General features: G+C 56.5%; 2 protein-coding genes and 1 long non-coding RNA gene across 7 annotated transcripts, besides 2 other annotated features; 2 read left to right on the forward strand and 1 right to left on the reverse strand.

The window, feature by feature from the left end:
• The first annotated feature begins 1,227 nt into the window (after positions 1-1,227).
• ZNF358 (zinc finger protein 358) lies at positions 1,228-8,373 on the forward strand. 4 transcript variants are annotated; one of them, XM_047438181.1, is made up of 2 exons: positions 1,228-1,353; positions 6,553-8,373. In XM_047438181.1, the coding sequence occupies exons 1-2, from the start codon at positions 1,335-1,337 to the stop codon at positions 8,295-8,297; spliced, it is 1,764 nt and encodes a 587-aa protein (XP_047294137.1). In that variant the 5' UTR covers positions 1,228-1,334; the 3' UTR covers positions 8,298-8,373. The 4 variants fall into 4 exon arrangements, with proteins under 4 accessions (XP_047294137.1, XP_005272517.1, NP_060553.4 ...); XM_005272460.4 differs by lacking the exon at positions 1,228-1,353 and adding an exon at positions 2,600-2,754; NM_018083.5 differs by lacking the exon at positions 1,228-1,353 and adding an exon at positions 3,451-3,597.
• On the reverse strand, positions 1,701-12,312 carry LOC105372261 (uncharacterized). 2 transcript variants are annotated; one of them, XR_936294.3, is made up of 3 exons: positions 11,698-12,312; positions 10,190-10,510; positions 1,701-1,823 (listed from the first exon to the last, which is right to left on the reverse strand). It is a non-coding gene; the product is annotated as an uncharacterized LOC105372261 (long non-coding RNA). The 2 variants fall into 2 exon arrangements; XR_936293.3 differs by lacking the exon at positions 1,701-1,823 and adding an exon at positions 9,069-9,173.
• Positions 3,283-3,532: a silencer, noted in NCBI's record as "silent region_9985". NCBI's record gives its function as "represses an Ori minimal core promoter by ATAC-STARR-seq in GM12878 lymphoblastoid cells {active_cell/tissue: GM12878}" and the evidence as "EXISTENCE:reporter gene assay evidence [ECO:0000049][PMID:35858748]".
• MCOLN1 (mucolipin TRP cation channel 1) lies at positions 9,972-21,357 on the forward strand. Its single transcript, NM_020533.3, has 14 exons — positions 9,972-10,129; positions 12,309-12,514; positions 13,787-13,954; positions 14,109-14,274; positions 14,868-14,976; positions 15,212-15,308; positions 15,506-15,605; positions 15,945-16,051; positions 16,169-16,318; positions 16,449-16,550; positions 16,938-17,060; positions 17,634-17,849; positions 20,871-21,001; positions 21,107-21,357. Exons 1-14 carry the CDS (start codon positions 10,099-10,101, stop codon positions 21,141-21,143), a joined length of 1,743 nt encoding a protein of 580 aa, NP_065394.1. The 5' UTR covers positions 9,972-10,098; the 3' UTR covers positions 21,144-21,357.
• Positions 10,006-10,135: a silencer, noted in NCBI's record as "silent region_9986". NCBI's record gives its function as "represses an Ori minimal core promoter by ATAC-STARR-seq in GM12878 lymphoblastoid cells {active_cell/tissue: GM12878}" and the evidence as "EXISTENCE:reporter gene assay evidence [ECO:0000049][PMID:35858748]".

A 21,381-nucleotide genomic window follows, 5' to 3' on the forward strand; every position in this document is an offset into this window, starting at 1 on the left:
AGCTAATAGGCTCTTCCCAGTGAGAGTGATTGTCAGCTTTGCAGACAAGGAATGTTCAGCGTTTGGGAGTAGTTTAGGGTGTCAGATGTCCTCCCATAATCCCAGTCTTATCTTCTACCTCATCATCTGCCTCGTCTTTTAGCCTGGGGCGGAAAATTCAGCTCTGAGGTTCTCACAAGATGAAGCAGATGATTCTCTGCTTTGAGAAGAAACACATTCCAGAAACTTGTGTCTTTCTTGCAAGACTTTGCTGAAGATTGCATGAAAGCTGCCCCAGGCCAGGCATGGTAGCTCACACCTGTAGTCCCAGCAAGTTGGGAGGATCGCTGAAGTCAGGAGTTTGAGACCAGCCAGGGCAACATAGTGAGGTTCCATCTCTACAAATAAAATAGTAATAATAGCCAGGCATGGTGGCTGTAGTCCCACCTACTCAGGAGGCTGAGTCCCCAGGTACTCATCTGTAGTCCCAGCTACTCAAGAGGTTGAGGTGGGAGGTTGGCTTGAACCCAGGAGTTCAAGGCTGCAGTGAGCTATGATTGTGCCACTGCACTCCAGCCTGGGTGACACAATGAGACCCTGTCTCTAAAAGAGAAAGAAAGCTTCCCCATATTCCAATATTCTGGTCCTTAGGAGACACATGGTTAGAGTTCCATGAAAAAATCAGTAACTATTTATTTATTTATTTATTTATTATTCATTTATTTTTGAGATGGAGTCTCGCTCTGTTGCCCAGGCTGGAGTATAGTGTGGCACGATCTCGGCTCACTGCAATCTCCACCTCCCGGGTTCAAGTGATTCTCCTGCCTCAGCCTCCCAAGTGGCTAGGATTACAGGTGCCCTCCACCATGCCCGGCTACTTTTTGTATTTTTAGTAGAAATGGGGTTTCACCATGTTGGCCAGGATGGTCTCAAACTCCTGACCTCAGTGAGCCGCCCATCTCAGCCTCCCAAAGTGCTGGGATTACAAGTGTCAGCCACCGCGCCTGGCCAGGCAACAATTTAATCCGCTGGTTTTCTTCCACATAACTCTAGTTTTCTGGGGGAAAGCTCTTTTACAAAGCCCCGTATACATCTAGACAGGTCGTGCATTGCATAACTTAAGGTGCCCTATTCACTTTATAGTCCATGTATGTGGCAACCCTGGCTCTCTATCCCATCTTTCTTTAGTTTGTTCCACATTTTAGGGTTTTTTTTAAAAGATTTTTTTTATTACTCTTTCCTTTCCAGGTAATAATTCCTAAATTAGTCAAGACTGTCACGGATGCAAAGAACAGACATCCACTAAAACCAGCTCAAACACCCAGAACATTTGTTGGTTTGTGGTACAGGAAAGAATGAGTTCTGTGGCTTCAGGTACGGCTATATCCAGGAGCTCAACAAATATAGCCAGAGCTATCTCTCTGACTCTTACTTGTACATCTTGGTGCATATTGTCCTCAGTCTGCAGACCGTTCTTTTGAACAACTGGGGAAAGTGGCTGCAGGCAGAATGAGCCCCCTGTGGCTCATAACCCCAGAAGTAGAGTGAGAACCTCCAATGTCACCTTCTCAACCCATACCTAATTATTGTGGCCAGGGGATAGGGGCCCTTTGATTAGAGTCCAGCTCACGTGGGACTGGGAAGGGGTGTTAGACACATGTGCATCTGGAGTAGTGGAGGGGACCCCACAAAGGAAAAGAAAGTACTGTTAGATTCTGAGCCAAAGAAACAACAGATGTCATCACATGTATTTGTAATGGGATCATCCAGGAAGTGTCAGGATAAGGAACCAGGGGCATAATCCAATTGAAGTTATCTCCAATCTCTCAGATCTGCTGTGGGCTCTGCGGAAAGATGGAAAGCAGGTCTCAGGCTGAGTCTAACACACATCTAGAAGGTTCAGGAAGGAAGAAGGAACCATAGGGTGTCTCTATAAGGAGGACATGGGGACAGAGGAGTATCTTATAGAATTTGGGCTTGTACTTGGTGGTTTGCATTTTTTGTTTTGTTTTTGTTTTTGAGACGGAGTCTCGCTCTGTTGCCCAGGCTGGAGTGCAGTGGTGCAATCTCGGCTCACTGCAACCTCCACCTCCTGGGTTCAAGCAATTCTCCTGCCTCAGCCTCCCGAGTAGCTGGGATTACAGGTGCCTGCCACCACGCCTGGCTAATCTTTGTATTTTTAGTAGAGACAGGATTTCACCATGCTGGCCAGGCTGGTCTCAAACTCCTGACCTCAAGATCCACCCGCCTTGGCCTCCCAAAGTGCTGGGATTACAGGCATGAGCTACCGCACCCAGCCTATACTGGGTGGTTTTACAGAGAATTACTAGGGTGGTATTGTCGGGAACCTGGGAGCGCTTTGCTGACTAGGTATTTCAGTGATTTTTGTCTCAGAGGTGGGAGGATGGCAGTTGGGTTGGAATTGTCGTCGGTAAGAAGTGGCAGTCATTTGTGTTCACTTGGAGAGGGGGATGAGAACTCATTTTTGTGGTTGCACAGGGCCCATGTCTCTATCTTGGTTCAGACATGGTCACAGAGTGGCCTTGCCTCATCATTGTTTATATTCTGTGACCATTGTTTATATTTAGTGGAGAACATCGCGGCCCAGCCATCAGGAGCTGATTTCCACTCTCTCTCCTGGCTGGCAGCGGGGATCTGTGTCTCCAAGGAAAGTTTGCCCCGAGCCCTTCCCGGCCCGGCGTAGGGTTCTCCGGAAACCATCACTCACATCTAGCACTTGGAGGCCTCCAGGGACAGCGGTGACCCACCATCTGGGTAGGAGGCTGAAAACACTAGAGGAGGAATATCCCAAATCTGTGCCTTGGCGGGTGTTACCCAGAAAGGGTGACGGGTTTCACCATGCAAAAAGGAAAAATTGGAGGAAGGCCAGGTTAAGCAAAAATAGACATGTTTTTAGATTGCAGAGCTGAGAGGCTTGGCTGTGCCTATGTGCGCTGCAAGTCTCCAAGAACAACATGTGTAGAGTTTTACGAACAAAGATAGAGTCAGAGACATGGGCAGGAGGCAGAGACAGAGAGAGAGAGACAGACAGACACAGAGAGAGATAGAGGCAGAGAAAGCAACAGAGGCAAAGAGATTGGAACACAGAGAAAGAGATGGGGACAGAGACACAGAGAAAGGAACAGAGATGGGAAGACAGGGACAGAGACAGAGAATGAACAGAGATAGAGAGATAGGGACGGAGAGAGACAGAGAGAGGGACAGGGATGGAGAGAAAGAGATAGGGCCAGGGCCACAGAGGGACTGAGACAGGCCCAGGAGGAGACTAGGGATGGGGCCAGGGCTGCGTGCGGGCGGGGCACGGTGCAGACAAAGGCGCGGCCGCGCGGTCGGGGTGGCCTGGCCGGGGACAAAGGCCTGCCCGGGGGGCGGGGGCAGCGATGGCGACGGCCGCGGCGGGCGCGGGCGAACTACAAGTCCCAGCAGCTCCCGCTGCGGCCCTCGGCCGGCCCCTCTCGCTCCCCGGGAGCGCCTGGCGGGGCCGCTGGGCCGAGGGGGCCGCCGGCGGGGCTGGCGGGCGGGGGGCTTCCTGCGGGCCCGGGGGGAGCCGGCGGCCGGCGCGGGCGCGGCGGGCCGGGCAGGGGCGAGGGGCGCCGGGTGAGTGTCCCTGCGAGCGGGCTGGGGCCGGGGCGGGGGGCTGGGTGGGGGGCGGGCGGGCGGGGGAGCTCCAGGCGCGGGGCGCAGCCCGGGGCGACCTCTAATCGTCCCCCGCCCTGCGCGCCGCCGGCCCTGGCCCAGGCGAGCGGGGGTCGCGGGAGCGATGGGGAGGGGACTCTGCGGCCAGCTCCGGCCTAGCGCACCCATCCCGCCGCTGGGGCCCGGGGGGAAAGGGCCAGGAGGTTGGGAGCCTTCAATCGGGCGGGGTGGGGGGCGCCCGCCAGCTCTGGGGTCTGGAGCTCAGGACGCCCCCTCCCTAGGAGGCGATCCAGGACCCCCTCCCCTCCTGATTCGAGGTATTGTTCCCACCTCCCGCCTGGGGTCTGGAGTTCAGGAGGCCCTGTCCTCAAAAGGGGGACCTAGGGGTTCCCTCTTCCCCCAGGACCCTAGGAAGGGTCCCAGCGATTGTTCCCTTGCCCCTCCAGTCTTGGGGTCTGCAGTTCTGGAAGCTCCTTTCCCTGGAGGTGATCCAGGGGTCCACCTGCCCTCACCCCTGGGAACTCAGGAAAGACTTAAGTGATTTCTCCTCCCACCTTCCAGTTAAGAGATGGGAATTCAGGGGGCTCCTTCCCCTGGAGGCAATCTAAGGGTTCCTCTGCCCCTGATGCAGGAGGGGTCCCAGGTCTTGTTTCCCCCACTCTCCAACTATGGGGTCTGGGTTGAGGACCGCCGTCCAGGAACTCGGCTCTGTTTGCCTGCACACTCCCAGCTATGGGGTTGTGGCTCAGTGTATTCCTTTCCCCAGAAGGGGAGCCACAGGTCCCCCCACAGCTTCTCCCAGGAGCAGATCATTCATTGTTGACACCTCAACACCCAGCCATGGGGTGGGGAGCTCAAGGCATCCTCCCGGCAGGTCATCCTGGGCTCCCATTGCTCCCCAGAAGTGGTTCCAGCTTTTGTCCCTCTACCTCCCAGTCTGCCCCTAGCCACAAGCTGGCAATTCAGTTCAGGATCCTTCCTGCAGGAAGGGCTACAAGTGTGCTGACACTACCCGCCATGTCCCAGCCATGGGAGGAGATGACTCAGGCGTTCCCCCATTAACTTCAGAGGGTCCCCAGGTATTATTTTTGCCTATCCTCCAGCTAGAAGTTAAAATGCAGGACCTTCTAGCCAATAGGGAAAACAGGTATACTGGCCGGGCATGGTGGCTCATGCCTGTAATCACCATACTTTGGGAGGCTGAGGTGGGAGGATCATTTGAGCCCAGGAGTTTGAGTCCAGCCTGGGCAACATACCAAGACCCCATCTCAAACATAAATAAATAAATAAAACAGGTATACTAACAACTGTCCCCACCATCCTGCCTATGGGGTTCATGAGTCTCCCTACCCATCCCTCCTCACCAGGAGGGGTCCCAAATATCACTCTACCATGCTCACTATCTGGCTGTAGGAAAGGGCATTTCCGATCTGTCTAAGAGAGAGGATTTGACACTGACTCCCACCTGGAGCTGTGAGCTCTGGAATTCAGGTTTTCTTTTCCCCAGAGGGCAAGCCAGAGTCTTCTTGTCTTTCCCCAGTGACTTGGGAGGGATACCTGATGTTATTTGTTCCATATTCTTATCCCCCAGACATGGGTTCTAGAGCTCAGAATGCTGCTGCTGGAGGGGGGCCTCCCTACCAGAACTCGCCCCCTAAATTAATCTGCCGCCTCCAAGTATGGGACAAGAATTCAGGCCATGTGCTCAGGAGCACAGAAACGCTGACACCCACACTGTTCCCCATGTGGGGACGCCCAGCAAGGGGGTAGGAAGCTAGGACTGTCTCCTCCACAGGACCCCAGCTTCCCACAAGAGGAGCCCAGGTTGGAGAGAGGTGCAGAGCCATGGAGTTGGGGACTAGAAACCTCTAGTGCTGGGTCTCATGACCTCCGTCCAGGTTTGGGGCTGAGAGGGGAGGGTCCTACCATGTCCCACCTGGTTCCCTCAACTCCCTGCCCTGGCTGGGGTAAGTCAGAAATCTCCTTGCAGTCAGAGACAAGGGAAGGATCCACGTGTATGCTCAGAAGTGAGTGGGGTTTGGCCAGGCACAGTGGCTCATGCCTGTAATCCCAGCACTTTCTGAGGCCAAGGCCAGAGGTTTGCTTGAGTCCAGGAGTTTGATACCAGCCTGGGCAACATAGCGACACCCCATCTCAAAAAAGAGAGACAGAGGGAGAGAGAAAGGAAAGAAGGAAGGAAAGAAGGAAGAAGAGAGAGAAGGAAGGAAAAGAAGGAAGGAAGGAAAGAAAGAAAGAAAGAGAGAGAGAGAGAAAGAAAGAAAGAAAGAAAGAAAGAAAGAAAGAAAGAAAGAATTGAAGTTAGCTGAGTGTGGTGGTGCATCTGTAATTCCAGCTACTTGAGAGGCCGAGGTGGGAGGATCGCTTGAGCCCGGGAGTTCCAGTCTGCAGTGAGCTATGTATGATCACATCACTGCACTCTAGCCTGGGTGACAGAGTGAGACCCCATCTCAAAAAAATAAAAATAAAGAAGTGGGGCTGGGCGCGGTGGCTCACGCCTGTAATCCCAGCACTTTGGGAGGCTGAGGCATGCAGATCACCTGAGGTCAGGAGTTTGAGACCAGCCTGTCTAACATGCTGAAATCCCATCTCTACTAAAAATACAAAAATTAGCCAGGCATGGTGGTGGACACCTGTAATCCCAGCTACTCAGGAGGCTGAGGCAGGAGAGTTGTTTGAACCTGGGAGGCGGAGGTTGCAGTGAGCCGAGATGGTACCTTTGCACTCCAGCCTTGGCAACAGAACGAGACCCCATCTCAAAAAAAAAAAAAAAAAAAAAAAGAAGTGGGTTCTGGGGGCACAATCGGGTCCCGTCTCTCATCCCTAACCAGACTCCAAAAGACACCCCCGCTCCCACAGAACCCACCTACCCTCTACCCTCTATCCTTGCCCTTGCAGGTCTTGCCCCAGAAGCTGCGGGCACATCCACGCCTGAAATGCGGCGCTCAGTCCTGGTCAGGAACCCAGGCCACAAAGGCCTGAGACCCGTTTATGAAGAGCTCGACTCTGACTCCGAGGACCTAGACCCCAATCCTGAAGATCTGGACCCGGTTTCTGAAGACCCAGAGCCTGATCCTGAAGACCTCAACACTGTCCCGGAAGACGTGGACCCCAGCTATGAAGATCTGGAGCCCGTCTCGGAGGATCTGGACCCCGACGCCGAAGCTCCGGGCTCGGAACCCCAAGATCCCGACCCCATGTCTTCGAGTTTCGACCTCGATCCAGATGTGATTGGCCCCGTACCCCTGATTCTCGATCCTAACAGCGACACCCTCAGCCCCGGCGATCCAAAAGTGGACCCCATCTCCTCTGGCCTCACTGCCACCCCCCAGGTCTTGGCCACCAGCCCCGCGGTGCTCCCCGCCCCCGCCAGCCCGCCCCGGCCCTTCTCCTGCCCGGATTGCGGGCGAGCCTTCCGCCGCAGCTCCGGGCTGAGCCAGCATCGCCGCACGCACAGCGGCGAGAAGCCGTACCGCTGCCCCGACTGCGGGAAGTCCTTCAGCCACGGTGCCACCCTGGCTCAGCACCGTGGCATCCACACTGGGGCGCGGCCGTACCAGTGCGCGGCCTGCGGCAAGGCCTTCGGCTGGCGCTCCACGCTGCTGAAACATCGCAGCAGCCACAGCGGGGAGAAGCCGCACCACTGCCCGGTGTGTGGCAAGGCCTTCGGGCACGGCTCGCTCCTGGCACAGCACCTGCGCACGCACGGCGGCCCGCGGCCCCACAAGTGCCCGGTGTGCGCCAAGGGCTTCGGCCAGGGCTCTGCGCTGCTCAAACACCTGCGCACGCACACGGGCGAGCGGCCCTACCCGTGTCCGCAGTGCGGCAAGGCCTTCGGGCAGAGCTCGGCGCTGCTGCAGCACCAGCGCACACACACGGCCGAGCGCCCCTACCGCTGCCCCCACTGCGGCAAAGCCTTCGGGCAGAGCTCCAACTTGCAACACCACCTGCGCATCCACACGGGCGAGCGGCCCTACGCCTGCCCGCACTGCTCCAAGGCCTTCGGCCAGAGCTCAGCGCTGCTCCAGCACCTGCACGTGCATTCGGGCGAGCGTCCCTATCGCTGTCAGCTCTGCGGGAAGGCCTTCGGCCAGGCCTCCAGCCTCACCAAGCACAAACGGGTGCATGAGGGTGCAGCCGCTGCTGCAGCTGCCGCGGCCGCTGCAGCTGCAGCAGCGGCCGCCGGCCTGGGCCTCGGGCCTGGCCTAAGCCCTGCATCCATGATGAGGCCGGGGCAGGTCTCCCTCCTGGGTCCTGATGCTGTTTCTGTGCTCGGCTCTGGCTTGGGCCTCAGCCCTGGCACCAGCTCTGGCCGCAACCCTGACCCTGGCTCTGGGCCGGGCACTCTGCCGGATCCCAGCTCCAAACCCCTCCCCGGCTCCAGATCCACCCCCAGCCCTACTCCTGTGGAATCTTCTGACCCAAAGGCTGGGCACGACGCTGGTCCCGACCTTGTGCCCAGCCCAGACCTTGATCCTGTGCCCAGCCCAGACCCTGATCCTGTGCCCAGCCCTGATCCCAACCCTGTGTCCTGCCCTGACCCCTGTTCTCCCACTCGTGGCACTGTCAGCCCAGCCCTCCCTACCGGCGAGAGTCCAGAGTGGGTACAGGAGCAAGGGGCACTGCTGGGGCCTGATGGCTGAAGGAGACGCCGGCATCCTCGGGGGCCTGGGGAAGTTGTGTGTTGTGCAGTCAGTAAAATCCTCCCACTGCCTCCGGGCTCTGTGTCGTGGCTTGCCTTTTGTGCTTTCTTTCTGAGCACAGCCCCTTGCTCCGGAGATGGGACATTGTGGCCAGGGCCAGCCACAATCTGGAGCTCCAGTGTCCTGGCTTCCTTCTTGGGCCCACCAGCTAGACTTTCCAGCTTAACCCACAGTGTCTCATCCTGGTCCATCCCACTAGTCACCACTCTCTGTTCCTCTCACTTACCCCTTGCTCTTCAAAGCCCATACAGTAGGTATACAAGTGGACAAAAAAAGTTGCTCATTTATGCAATCAACAAACATCTCTGGATTGCTGGGGTCTCAGCAGGGAACAAGATAAATATGGCCTCGACCTGCATGGAGCTCATAGATACTAAATTCAGAATACTTAAAAAATAATTACGGGGTATAGTACATTCTAGGAGAAGCATAACAAGACTTCTGATATAAATGGCAGGCAGCTTTCTCAATGAAGGATTTTGTAATCCCAATAATCACTAATTTAATAATCAGTACTGTTTGCCCAGCCTTATGCGATAGTTTTTGCATTCTCTCATTTAATCCTCTCAACAGCCCCAGTAGGTAGATGACTTTGAATATCCCCATTTTGCAAATGAGAAAATTGAGGCACATTTTTTTTTTTTTTTTTAGACAGTCTTGCTCTGTTGCCCAGGCTGGAGTGCAGTGGTGTGATCATAGCTCACTGCAGCCTCGACCTCCTGGGCTCAAGCGATCCTCCCACCTTAGCCTCCCGAGTAGCTGGGATTGCCGGTGCATGCCACCGCCCACTGCGCTCAGCTTGGAGTTGAAGGGACTCTGGAAGATGTAGAAGTGGCATTGTCAGTGCCTAGATTTAAATCCCAATTGCCCTCCAGGGTCCAAATTCTTAACCATTACGCTCCAGGGCAAAAGTATGCAAAGGCTCTGGGGCTATAGAAAGATGAGCTTTGGATGGAGGTAGGAGCCAGATCAGAGGGCCCTGATAGACGAGAGTGGGGACTCTGCCTGTCATTACAGAGCAATGGGAAGCCGAGGGCAGGTTCTCGCAGGAAGGATAGGAATTATTCTTTGAAGATGCTTGTGGCTGCTGGGTAGAGAGTGGAGTGGAGGGAGGCTGAGATCGGGGAGGAGGTTGCTGCAAAGATCCAGGCCAGGAATGTTGGAAGACTCTGGGCTGGGGGCCATGGGGTGGGGATAAGTGGTTCTATTTGATACATAATTAGGAAATCGTGTTTGCTGAAGATGCGCAGGAGAAGGGTAAAAGGAGTTTCTGGGAGAAAGAGGAAGACAGCGTTGAGATAGTAGGCAGGGTCATCACCAGGCACCAAGGAGGATAAGGGGTCAAGCTCTGGACATGGAAGTCACAAGCCTGGCACCGGATTCGGGGCATGGCCGGGAGCCAGGGCAGAGCTCGTCGTTGCCAAACTCAGAGTCAGCCCATCCCCCGCCACCCAGAGCGCGTCGGCGCTAGGACCTAGCGACTGCCTTCGACCCAGAGGGCGCCGGCAGAGGCACGCATGCGCGCTGTTCCGGCAGGGGTTGTCGTGGCGCAGGGGGCGGGACCAGAGGCGGTCACGTGAGGGGCTCTGGGCTACCGGGTCACGTGACCGAGGCACAGATCAGCTGATGCCGGAGGGTTTGAAGCCGCGCCGCGAGGGAGCGAGGTCGCAGTGACAGCGGCGGGCGATCGGACCCAGGCTGCCCCGCCGTACCCGCCTGCGTCCCGCGCTCCCGCCCCAGCATGACAGCCCCGGCGGGTCCGCGCGGCTCAGGTGAGGGCGCGGGCGGCACCGTGGGGCCCCGAACTCAGGCGGGCGGGCTGTGTCTCCCACCTGGGGCGGCGGAGCTCCTAGTCTCTTTTTTTCTAAGCTCCAGCGCTGACTTTTCACGGTGGAGAAAAGGGCAGACGGCTCCTAGAACTTGGGCGGCGGGTGGGCACCAGCCTCTCCAATTCTTCCTCCTGAACCCAGGCTCTGCTGGGTTCCCAAACTCAGGCAGGGATCGCGCCGGGCCGCCAGCTTCTCCCTCTGGGGCGGCGAGGTTCCTGGGATTCCCACTGGGAGCCTAGGTTCCGATTGCTCAACTTCGTCTGGAACTCAGACAGCGGGCACCAGCTTCTCCAACCCGCACGTGAGACTCCCAGGCTTCCCCTCCTGATTCCAGGGGACAAATGCTCAGCTTCCCTAAGCTCAAGCCTGGAGAGCTGGAGGGATTGCCCCCAGGCGATTAACTCAGTTTTAGCTTTCCAAACCGCTGGAAGCGCAGCCTTCTTAAATTCGGGCTTCTAGCCAATTCTGATGCCACCCCTCCTCGGGGAGGCTGGAGGAAGACCCCTTGTGTTAGCTTCCCCTTCTGGAGCTAGCTGGGGACCCCTACCTGATAGATGTCCCGGTGTCCCAGCTAGTAGGGTCTGGGGTGGGTTAGCTGTAATCTCAGCTCTGTAAGCGGGCCCTGCCCTCTGGCTTTGTCGTAAACAGCCACAGCAGCATCTCATTGCAAAGGGAGGGGCCGGGAACTTGTCCCTCTCTGCAAGGGAGGTTCTGACAGTGCACACATTTATCCTGACTGCTTTGCTAGGCAGGAGGCCAGGCCCTAGAAAGCAGCACGGGGCCAGGCCCTAGAAAGCACATCCCCATGGGGGTGTGACAGGGACAGTTTTGGGCTACTGTGACTGGTTTTGACTCCAGCAGTTGCTGAAAGCTTAGATCTAACCATTAGGCTGGAAAAAAATAAACAGTGATTAGAACAGCTTGTGTTTGCTGAAGAGGTCTTTATCTGCTGTGTCTCACTGAATTCTCAGAGCAGCTTCAGGATCTCAACCTCAAGGCTCAGGGAGAGGGTGGACTTTTTTTTTTTTTAATAAACTTTTTTTTGTTGCCCAGGCTGTAGTGCAGTGGCATAATCCTAGCTCATTGTAACATCGAACTCCTGGGCTCAAGTGATCCTCCCAACTCAGCCTCCCGGGTAGATGGGGTCCCAGCTACTAACTACGGGCATGAGCCGTCACACCTGACTATTTAAAAAAAATGTTTTTTTTTTGTAGACAGGGAGGTCTCGCTGTATTACCTAGGCTGGATCCTCCCACCTTGGCCTCCCAAAGCCGTTGGGATAACAGGCATGAGCCACTGAGCCCAGCCAAGGGGTCGCCTTTTTAAAATTTCCACTCTTCAGATGAGGAGATGGAGGCTCAGGGAGGTACCTGGAGTCAACCTACTGTAAAGTGGCAGGTCTGGGATTTGATGCTAGGGCTGCATGATTTCTAGGAGCTGGTGCTTTTCAGGGAGATAAAATGAGTCTTTAGCGAATGTGTTCCATTATTATTACTTATGTTGTCAATTACCTCTTCTCCAGGTCCTTGGCTTCTGAGAGTGTCAGCTGATGGGCCAGGTTATAATGAACCCAGAGGTCATCTTTTGGGTATTTGTCCAGACAAACCTAGAATACAGGCTGAGTTCTATGCTCATGTCTGGAAGCTGGAGTTGGGATAAGCCCAGCAGGCTTGAACGCCCAGTGAAAAGCCAGTGGGAGCAGTTCATTCTCTCCCCACTGATCAATAACGGGAACATTGATGAAATGTTCTGACATTCACCATGGACCAGCCCCTGTGATCAATGCTTCATAAGCATCCAGTCCTTAGCGTTCCCATGAGACATATTATTGCCCCATTTCGCAGATGAGGAAACTGAGGCTCAGAGAGCTGGTGAGCAGGAGGGGCAGGAATCAGCCCAGGCCCTGTACCTCCCAAACCCAAACTCATAACCTCTGAGCAGGACGGGTGCATAGATACCTACAATGTCACAGGTTTTCTGGTTTTCTTTAGACCTCTCAGAGCTCTTCCTTGGCAGGAGCATGGGGACATGAAGATAGGGCGTGTGCTGCCTTCCTGGTTGGAGAAAGGGGAAAAGGGGAGTTGCCCAGGCCTCACCCCAGTGCCCTCTCCTATTCCCACAGAGACCGAGCGGCTTCTGACCCCCAACCCCGGGTATGGGACCCAGGCGGGGCCTTCACCGGCCCCTCCGACACCCCCAGAAGAGGAAGACCTTCGCCGTCGTCTCAAATACTTTTTCATGAGTCCCTGCGACAAGTTTCGAGCCAAGGGCCGCAAGCCCTGCAAGCTGATGCTGCAAGTGGTCAAGATCCTGGTGGTCACGGTGCAGGTGAGGCCAGCCAAGCAGGGGCCCCAGCTGAAGGCCACCTGTGGCTGCTGTGCTCCTTGAAGAGAGTCTTAAAGCAGCACTTTGGAAGGCCGAGGCCGGTGGATCGCTTGAGGCTGGGAGTTCAAGACCAGTCTGGCCAGCATGGTGAAACCCCATCTCTACTAAAAATACAAAAAAATTAGCCGTGCGTGGTGGCGGGTGCCTGTAATCCCAGCTACTTGGCAGGCTGAGGCAGGAGAATCGCTTGAATTGGGAGGCGGAGGTTGCCGTGAGCTGAAATCATGCCACTGCACTCCAGCCTGGGCAACAGAGCAAGACTGTCTCAAAAAAAAAAAGAAGCCGACTCTGAGGCTCAGAGAGGTTAGGAGACTTGCCCAAAGTCACACAGCAATAGAACATTGGGAGCTGGGATTTGAACCCAGGCAGTCTGACACCATGTTGACCCAATGGCTGCACAGATAGTTCTCCCTCCCCCATGCCAGACCCTGTGCTGGGCTCTGGGAACCCCAAGATGAATCAGACCCAGCCACTGCCCTAAGTGCTTACTTCATGTTTTGGGCTGACTTTAGCATGTCACCATGCCTCTAATTTTCCCTCTGAAAAGGGACCCAATTGTCCAGGCATGGTGGCTCATGCCTGTAATGCCAGCACTTTGGGAGGCTGAGTTGGGTGGATCATTTGAGGCCAGGAGTTTGAGACCAGCCTGGCCAACATTGCAAAACCCCGTCTCTACTAAAAATACAAAAATTAGCTGGGTTTGGTGGCAGGTACCTGTAACTCAGCTACTCAGGAGGCTGAGACAGGAGAATTGCTTGAACCCAGGGGGTGGAGGTTGTAGTGAGCTGAGATCATACCATGGCACTCCAACTTGGGCAACAGAGTGAGACTCTGTCTCAAAAAAGAAAAGAAAAGGGACCCAGTCATGGTACTTACCCTGAAAGTTTGGGTTTAACACAGAATCGGACATCCAGTAAACATTTAATGAACGTTAGTCCCTGCAGTGAGATAGATGAGTCCCCACCCTGTGTTGTACGGGGGAGGACACAGTGGTGGGCGTGGCATGGAGCTTATGCCAGGAGGTGGGGTGAAATTAATCAAAGCAAAGAAATGCACAAGTGAAATCCGTGTTTGTGGCCCAAGTTAGCAGGGCCCTGCCCCACCCCAGTGGACATCTGCAGGGCCCTCCCTGTCCTCTTCCAGGGCCTGTGCCCTGAGGGAGATACACCCCAACCCCCATCCTAGCCATGCCAACCTCTACTACCCTCTCCCCAGCTCATCCTGTTTGGGCTCAGTAATCAGCTGGCTGTGACATTCCGGGAAGAGAACACCATCGCCTTCCGACACCTCTTCCTGCTGGGCTACTCGGACGGAGCGGATGACACCTTCGCAGCCTACACGCGGGAGCAGCTGTACCAGGCCATCTTCCATGCTGTGGACCAGGTGCTGGTGGGCGGGCAGGTGCTGGTGGGCAGGCAGGTGCAGGTGGGCGGGCAGGTGCAGTTGGGCGGGCAGGTGCTGGTGGGCGGGCAGGTGCAGGTGGGTGGGCTGCAGAGAGCGGGCCGGACTCACAGGCCCTCCCCTTCTCTGCCCACAGTACCTGGCGTTGCCTGACGTGTCACTGGGCCGGTATGCGTATGTCCGTGGTGGGGGTGACCCTTGGACCAATGGCTCAGGGCTTGCTCTCTGCCAGCGGTACTACCACCGAGGCCACGTGGACCCGGCCAACGACACATTTGACATTGATCCGATGGTGGTTACTGGTGAGTGGGCAGGACGAGGCTTCACTGTTGGGAGCCTGAGCTGCTGGGATTAAAATCAACAGCTGTGGCTGGGCACGGTGGCTCACGCCTATAATACCAGCACTTTGGGAGGCTGAGGAGGAAGGATTGCTTGAGGCCAGAAGTTTGAGACCAGCCTGGGCCACGTAGGAAGACCTTGTCTCTACGCACAAACAAATTAGCTGGGCGTGGTGGCGTGCCCCTGTGGTCCCAGCTACTCAGGAGGCTGAGGCAGGAGGATCGCTTGAGTCCGGGAGGTTGAGGCTGCAGTAAGCTATGACCACGCTGCTGCACTCCACCCTGGGTGACAGAGTGAGACCCTGTCTCAAAAAAAAAAAAAAAAAAAAAAAACAAGTATGCTTAGTGTGAGTGTGACTCTTGCCACGTAGAAAGCACCAGATGTTATATTTTAATATGGCTCATTCAGTAAAACATCCGCAGGCCCAGAGAGTGCCAGGCCTGTAGGAATGACCCAACCCTGGGGAAGCACAGGGAAGAAGGCCACTGGGGACTCTGGGGAGACCAGCCTGGCCTCCCCGGCCCCCTGAGGCCCTTCCCTGACTCCCTGTCCTTAGACTGCATCCAGGTGGATCCCCCCGAGCGGCCCCCTCCGCCCCCCAGCGACGATCTCACCCTCTTGGAAAGCAGCTCCAGTTACAAGAACCTCACGCTCAAATTCCACAAGTACTGCCTGCTCACTCGAGGGGGGCCCAGGGTGGGGGAGGCAGCACACTAGGCACTCTCACCCCAGCAACTACTTCCCTAAGGTGGGGACAGGGCCCCCCCGCCCGCGCTGGTGCCTGCTGGGTGAGCACTTCCCCTGCCAGCTGCAGAGTCAGCACGTGGCAGGGGACGCTGGCACTTGGGGCCGGAAGGGACCCGAAGACGCCCCTGACCCTCACCCGAGCCTCCTGCCTAGGCTGGTCAATGTCACCATCCACTTCCGGCTGAAGACCATTAACCTCCAGAGCCTCATCAATAATGAGATCCCGGACTGCTATACCTTCAGCGTCCTGGTGAGGCCCCCCGGGAACCCACAGGGCTCCTGAGTTCCAGGGCAGGGACCTGGTCAGGGAGTGTCTTGGGAGCACTGGCCAAGGGCAAGCGTGCGGGTGATGAGGGAGGGAGCCCGGGGTCTGTCAGGCCACCTGTCATGTGGACCTTGGGGCTTGGGGCTGCCAAGGTTTACTCTGCCCCCAACTGGCCCCCACAGATCACGTTTGACAACAAAGCACACAGTGGGCGGATCCCCATCAGCCTGGAGACCCAGGCCCACATCCAGGAGTGTAAGCACCCCAGTGTCTTCCAGCACGGTGAGCCCCTGAGCCCCAGACCAGCACTGACCAGGGGCCCTGGCCTGTCCTGGGATTCCCCAAGCCCCAGATCAGCGCTGCCTGGGGGCCGTGACCTCCCCAGGAATCCGCTGAGCCTCAGATCAGCACAGACCAGGGACCCCGTCCTGTGCTGAGATCCCCCAAGCCCCAGACCAGCACTGACCGGGGTTCTTGACTCACCCCAAGCAAGCCCTGAGCCCACTGACCAACCAAAACCAGCCGTGCAGCCCCCTAGGTCTCCAGCCTGGCCTGGCACCAATGCTAGCCTCCCAAGGCTCCATGCCATCCTTGGCCCTACCCGCTCTGCCCTCCCCGCAGGAGACAACAGCTTCCGGCTCCTGTTTGACGTGGTGGTCATCCTCACCTGCTCCCTGTCCTTCCTCCTCTGCGCCCGCTCACTCCTTCGAGGCTTCCTGCTGCAGAACGTGAGGCTTCTGCGTCATGTGTGCTGGTGTCCTCCCCGCCTGGCCCTGGGGCGATAAAAGCCAGGGCTTTGAGGGTCCTGTGCCTGGTCAGGCCCTCACCCCGCCTGCCTTCTGCAGGAGTTTGTGGGGTTCATGTGGCGGCAGCGGGGACGGGTCATCAGCCTGTGGGAGCGGCTGGAATTTGTCAATGGCTGGTACATCCTGCTCGTCACCAGCGATGTGCTCACCATCTCGGGCACCATCATGAAGATCGGCATCGAGGCCAAGGTGCGTCCTGCCAACACCCTGGGCCCCAGGTCCCATCCCTGCTGTCAGTGCCTATCCGGGGCCATATCCTCCCCCAGGCCCCCCAAAGGAAGGGCTGGGCCAGATAGGTTGACGCAGCTCCCACCCGCAGAACTTGGCGAGCTACGACGTCTGCAGCATCCTCCTGGGCACCTCGACGCTGCTGGTGTGGGTGGGCGTGATCCGCTACCTGACCTTCTTCCACAACTACAATGTGAGTTTTGCACATGCAGCTGGGCCTTCCACATGGTTACTCCACACCCTCCAAATAAATCCCTACACACGCAGCCCTCACCAGCCCCGGCCAATGGCCCCTTGCAAGCCTCCTCCTCCTACCTGCCCACACCAGATATATCTGTCACTGCACCTGCGCGGGGCCCCGGGAGCCTGCTCCTTTGTGCCCACCCAGCTGAGTCTAGCCGTGCGTTGCCCTCGGACCCCCTCAGACGTGGCCACGCCCCCTCTAGGCACCCACTGGCTCCCATGACCACACCGGCTGTGCCCTCGGCAAGGCCCCGCCCCTCCCACCCCCATCTGGGTGCCCACAGCTGACCTGAGTTGTGGCCACACCCTCAACGAGGCTCCCTCTGCCCCAACCCAGATCCTCATCGCCACACTGCGGGTGGCCCTGCCCAGCGTCATGCGCTTCTGCTGCTGCGTGGCTGTCATCTACCTGGGCTACTGCTTCTGTGGCTGGATCGTGCTGGGGCCCTATCATGTGAAGGTACATCTAACCCCTGATGTCCCTGACATTGACCCTGTGACCTTGTCATTGACACTGTGACCCCCAGATGACCCCTTGGTGACTGCTGGGAGTCTGTCCACTGTCCCCTGTGGTCCTTGGTGACCCTGACACTGACCCTGTGCCATTATTGTTGTCACAGTTGTTGATGACCCTATTTCGACCTGAATTACTCCCCTCCTGCTCTATCTACCCAGACCCTAGGTCGGCCCTGTGGCCCTGTCATTGACCCGTGGTCCCGGCCATTCACATGGGACCCCAGCCTGGGACCTGGCCATTCACATAGTGACCCCAGCCTGGGACCCGGCCATTCACGTGGGACCCCAGCCTGGGTCCCGGCCATTCACGTGGGACCCCAGCCTGGGACCCGGCCATTCACAGGGGCCCTAGCCTGGAACCCGACCATTCACATGGTGACCGCAGCCCGGGACCCGGCCATTCATGTGGGGCCCCAGCCACCAGCTCCTAGCCATTTGCATGGGACCCCAGCCTGACCCCAGCCCCCGGTTCCTGGCCATGCCTTGGCTCCCTCTGACCCCGCCGCCCCTCTGGCAGTTCCGCTCACTCTCCATGGTGTCTGAGTGCCTGTTCTCGCTCATCAATGGGGACGACATGTTTGTGACGTTCGCCGCCATGCAGGCGCAGCAGGGCCGCAGCAGCCTGGTGTGGCTCTTCTCCCAGCTCTACCTTTACTCCTTCATCAGCCTCTTCATCTACATGGTGCTCAGCCTCTTCATCGCGCTCATCACCGGCGCCTACGACACCATCAAGGTCAGCCGCATGCACCCAGCCCTGAGCTCGGGCTCTGGGTGCCCTGGAGTCTGCCATGAGGGGGTCTTGGGGACACCGCAGGGTGAACAGAGAAGACCCAGGAGAGAATATGGGAGACTCTATGAAACCAAAAAGAGGGTGGTTCAGAACTGGGGGGCGCAGGGGGATGTCAAGGTGGGCTTGGGCCAGGAGGGGGCCTGAGTCAGTCTTTGCCAACAGGGCAACCGAGTCATAGAGTTTATTTATTTATTTGTTTATTTGAGACGGAGTCTTGCTCTGTCACCCAGGGTGGAGTGCAGTGGTGCGATCTTGACTCACTGCAACCTCCACCTCCCGGGTTCAAGCAATTCTGTCTCAGCCTCCTGAGTAGCTGGGACTACAGGCACACGCCACCACGTCCAGCTAATTTTTGTATTTTTAGTAGAGATGGCATTTCACCGCATTGGTCAGGCTGGTCTCAAACTCCTGGCCTCAGGAGATCTACTGCCTTGGCCTCCCAAAGTGTTGGGATTACAGGCGTGAGCCACCACGCCCGGCCTATTTTATTTTATTATTAAAGTATTGTTCTTTATTTTATTAGAGACAAGGGTCTCACTGTGTTACCCAGGCTGGTTTCAAACTCCTGAGGTCAAGTGATCCTCCCACTTTGGCCTCCCAAAGTGCTGGGATTACAGGCGTAAGCCACCACACCCAGCCTATTATTATTATTTTTTTTTTGAAATGGAATCTTACCCTGTGGCCCAGGCTGGAGTGCAATGGCATGATCTCGGCTCACTGCAACCTCCACCTTCTGAGTTGAAGCGATCCTTGTGCCTCAGCCTCCTGAGTAGCTGGGATTACTTGCACGTGCCACCACACCTGGCTAATTTTTGTATTTTTACTAGAGATGGGGTTTCACCACGTTGGCCAGGCTGGTCTCGAACTCCTGACCTCAGGTGATCCACCTGCCTTGGCCTCCCAAGGTGCTGGGATTTCAGGCATGAGCCACTGAACCCAGCTAAGTCATACAGTTTCAATGACCTTGTCATTGACCCTGGGACGTTGCCATTAACATGGTGATCCTCAGCTGGCCCCATTCCTATGGCGGACCTCTAAAAACCCAACCCTGACCCCAGCCCCCAGCCATGCCCCCGACTCCCTCTGACCCTGCCCAAGGTTAGCTTCTTTATTTATTTATTTTTTTTGAGACGGAGTCTCGCTGTGTCACCCAGGCTGGAGTGCAGTGGTGCAATCTCGGCTCACTGCAACCTCTGCCTCCCGGGTTCAAGCGATTCTCCTGCCTCAGCCTACTGAGTAGCTGGGATTATAGGCACACGCCACCATGCCTGGCTAATTTTTGTATTTTTAGTAGAGATGGGGTTTCACCATGTTGACCAGGCTGGTCTCAAACTCCTGACCTTGTGATCCGCCCACCTCAGGCTCCCAAAGTGCTGGGATTACGGGCGTGAGCCACTGTGCCCGGCCCAGGTTAGCTTCTGAGCAGTAAAACTGGGCTCAACCCAGGGCTGTCTGATTCCAGAAGCCGTGCTCCTAACCCCTCTGTCCTCAGTTTAGTAGGGTGGCTGGGAACAGTGGTTTCCCTGCAAGCTGCAAGGGTCAGGGGACAGAGCAGGATGCGGAAGTGGCAGGTAGATAGGATTCTTTCAGCAGATATATCTAAGGGCCAAGATCTGTGCTGGGTTCTGGGCATGGAGGAAAATCAGGTGTGCATGATCCGTCCAAGGCCTGTGGGCAAGGATGGCACAGGAACAGACATCCCATGACCAATGACCTACTTGTAACAGGTATGAAGGAAGAGTGGAAGGTTGCAGAGGGACCCCTGCTTTAGATTGGTATGACAGGAGATCCAGGAGAGCTTCTAGAATGTTCTATCCATCACTAGTCTCTAGCCCTATGCAGCTATTTAAATTTTGATTTTAATTCCGGCTGGGCACGGTGACTCACGCCTGTAATCCCAGCCCTTTGGGAGGCCGAGGGGGGGTGGGGGTGGATCACCTGAGGTTAGGAGTTCGAGACCAGCCTGGCCAACATGGCAAAACCCCATCTCTACTAAAAATACAAAAAATTAGCGGACGTGGTGGCAGGCACCTGTAATCCCAGCTACTCCGGAGGCTGAGGCAGTAGAATTGCTTGAACCTGGGACGTAGAGGTTGCAGTGAGCCGAGATCAAGCCACTGCACTCCAACGTGGGCGAGAGACCGAGACTCTGCTTCAAAGACAAAACAACAATTTTTTAAAAATTTTAATTCAAATGAAGTACAATTGCAAATTTAGCCTCTGACTTGCACCATCCTGTATCCAGTGCTCAAAAGCCAGTGTGGCTGGTGGCTGCCATATTGGACAGCATAGATATTGAATACTTCCATCGCCTCTAGACTGAAGAGATGGGAGCCCAGGGGCAGTGCACCGAGGGGAAGGAATAGCTAAAGCAAAGGTCTAGTAGCCTGAAAAAACTTGGAGAAAAGATGGCCCCTCCATGAGGCCGAGTGAGAGGAAGGAAGCCTTGGCTGGGACCCTGCCACATCCAATGTCACCGGCAGATGGGTACACCCCCTTTTCCCCATGCATGGATTCAGCTGTCCCACAGACACATTGACTCAGGCCCTTGGAACTACTTCCTGTCTTGCCTTAGCACGTAGACATCACACACATGCATCCACTCAGGTGGGCAGTCTCAGGCCCTGCTCCCACTGCTGTGCTCAGCGTGCATCCAGCTCACTCAATAGATGGTTTCTGAGCATCGAGGTCATGTCAGCCCTGGCTCTAGGTCTGTAGGTGCTGGACCTACAGCAGAAGGCAAAGACACAGACTGGCAAAGACACAGCTTGTATCCAGGTTCAGGGGTCAGGGAAGGTCCCTCTGTGCAAGCAAACTGTGGAACAACGGGTGGAGCAGGCCCAGCAAGTGCAAAGGCCCGGAGGTGGGAAGCGATGCAGATATGGCTGGAGGGGAGGGCGGACTTCAAGGGCCTTGGAGGTTGGGAGCCACTTTCAGGCTGAGCCTCCCGGCTTCTCTCCCCAGCATCCCGGCGGCGCAGGCGCAGAGGAGAGCGAGCTGCAGGCCTACATCGCACAGTGCCAGGACAGCCCCACCTCCGGCAAGTTCCGCCGCGGGAGCGGCTCGGCCTGCAGCCTTCTCTGCTGCTGCGGAAGGTTCGAGTCCCGGGTCTGGCACATTCAGATTGGAGGTTAGGGAATGGGGAAAGGGGAGCGAGCCAGAGAAAACTGACGCCCCTCTTCCCTGCTTCCTTCCTCCAGGGACCCCTCGGAGGAGCATTCGCTGCTGGTGAATTGATTCGACCTGACTGCCGTTGGACCGTAGGCCCTGGACTGCAGAGACCCCCGCCCCCGACCCCGCTTATTTATTTGTAGGGTTTGCTTTTAAGGATCGGCTCCCTGTCGCGCCCGAGGAGGGCCTGGACCTTTCGTGTCGGACCCTTGGGGGCGGGGAGACTGGGTGGGGAGGGTGTTGAATAAAAGGGAAAATAAATGTGTCGTTTTCATTTTTAGCGGGAGGAGCAGTCCTTGCGTTA

This window comes from Homo sapiens, chromosome 19, assembly GCF_000001405.40.
Source record: "Homo sapiens chromosome 19, GRCh38.p14 Primary Assembly".
Taxonomy (NCBI): Eukaryota; Metazoa; Chordata; class Mammalia; order Primates; family Hominidae; genus Homo; species Homo sapiens.

What these genes read in the sequence shown, in the direction of transcription:
- MCOLN1 (NM_020533.3), top strand. Translation starts at nt 10,099, where the DNA reads ATGACAGCCCCGGCGGGTCCGCGCGGCTCAG. An exon ending in TCTTCCATGCTGTGGACCAG is followed by an intron (nt 13,955 to 14,108) that starts GTGCTGGTGGGC and finishes CTCTGCCCACAG; the next exon opens with TACCTGGCGTTGCCTGACGT. An exon ending in CTTCTCTGCTGCTGCGGAAG is followed by an intron (nt 21,002 to 21,106) that starts GTTCGAGTCCCG and finishes TCCTTCCTCCAG; the next exon opens with GGACCCCTCGGAGGAGCATT.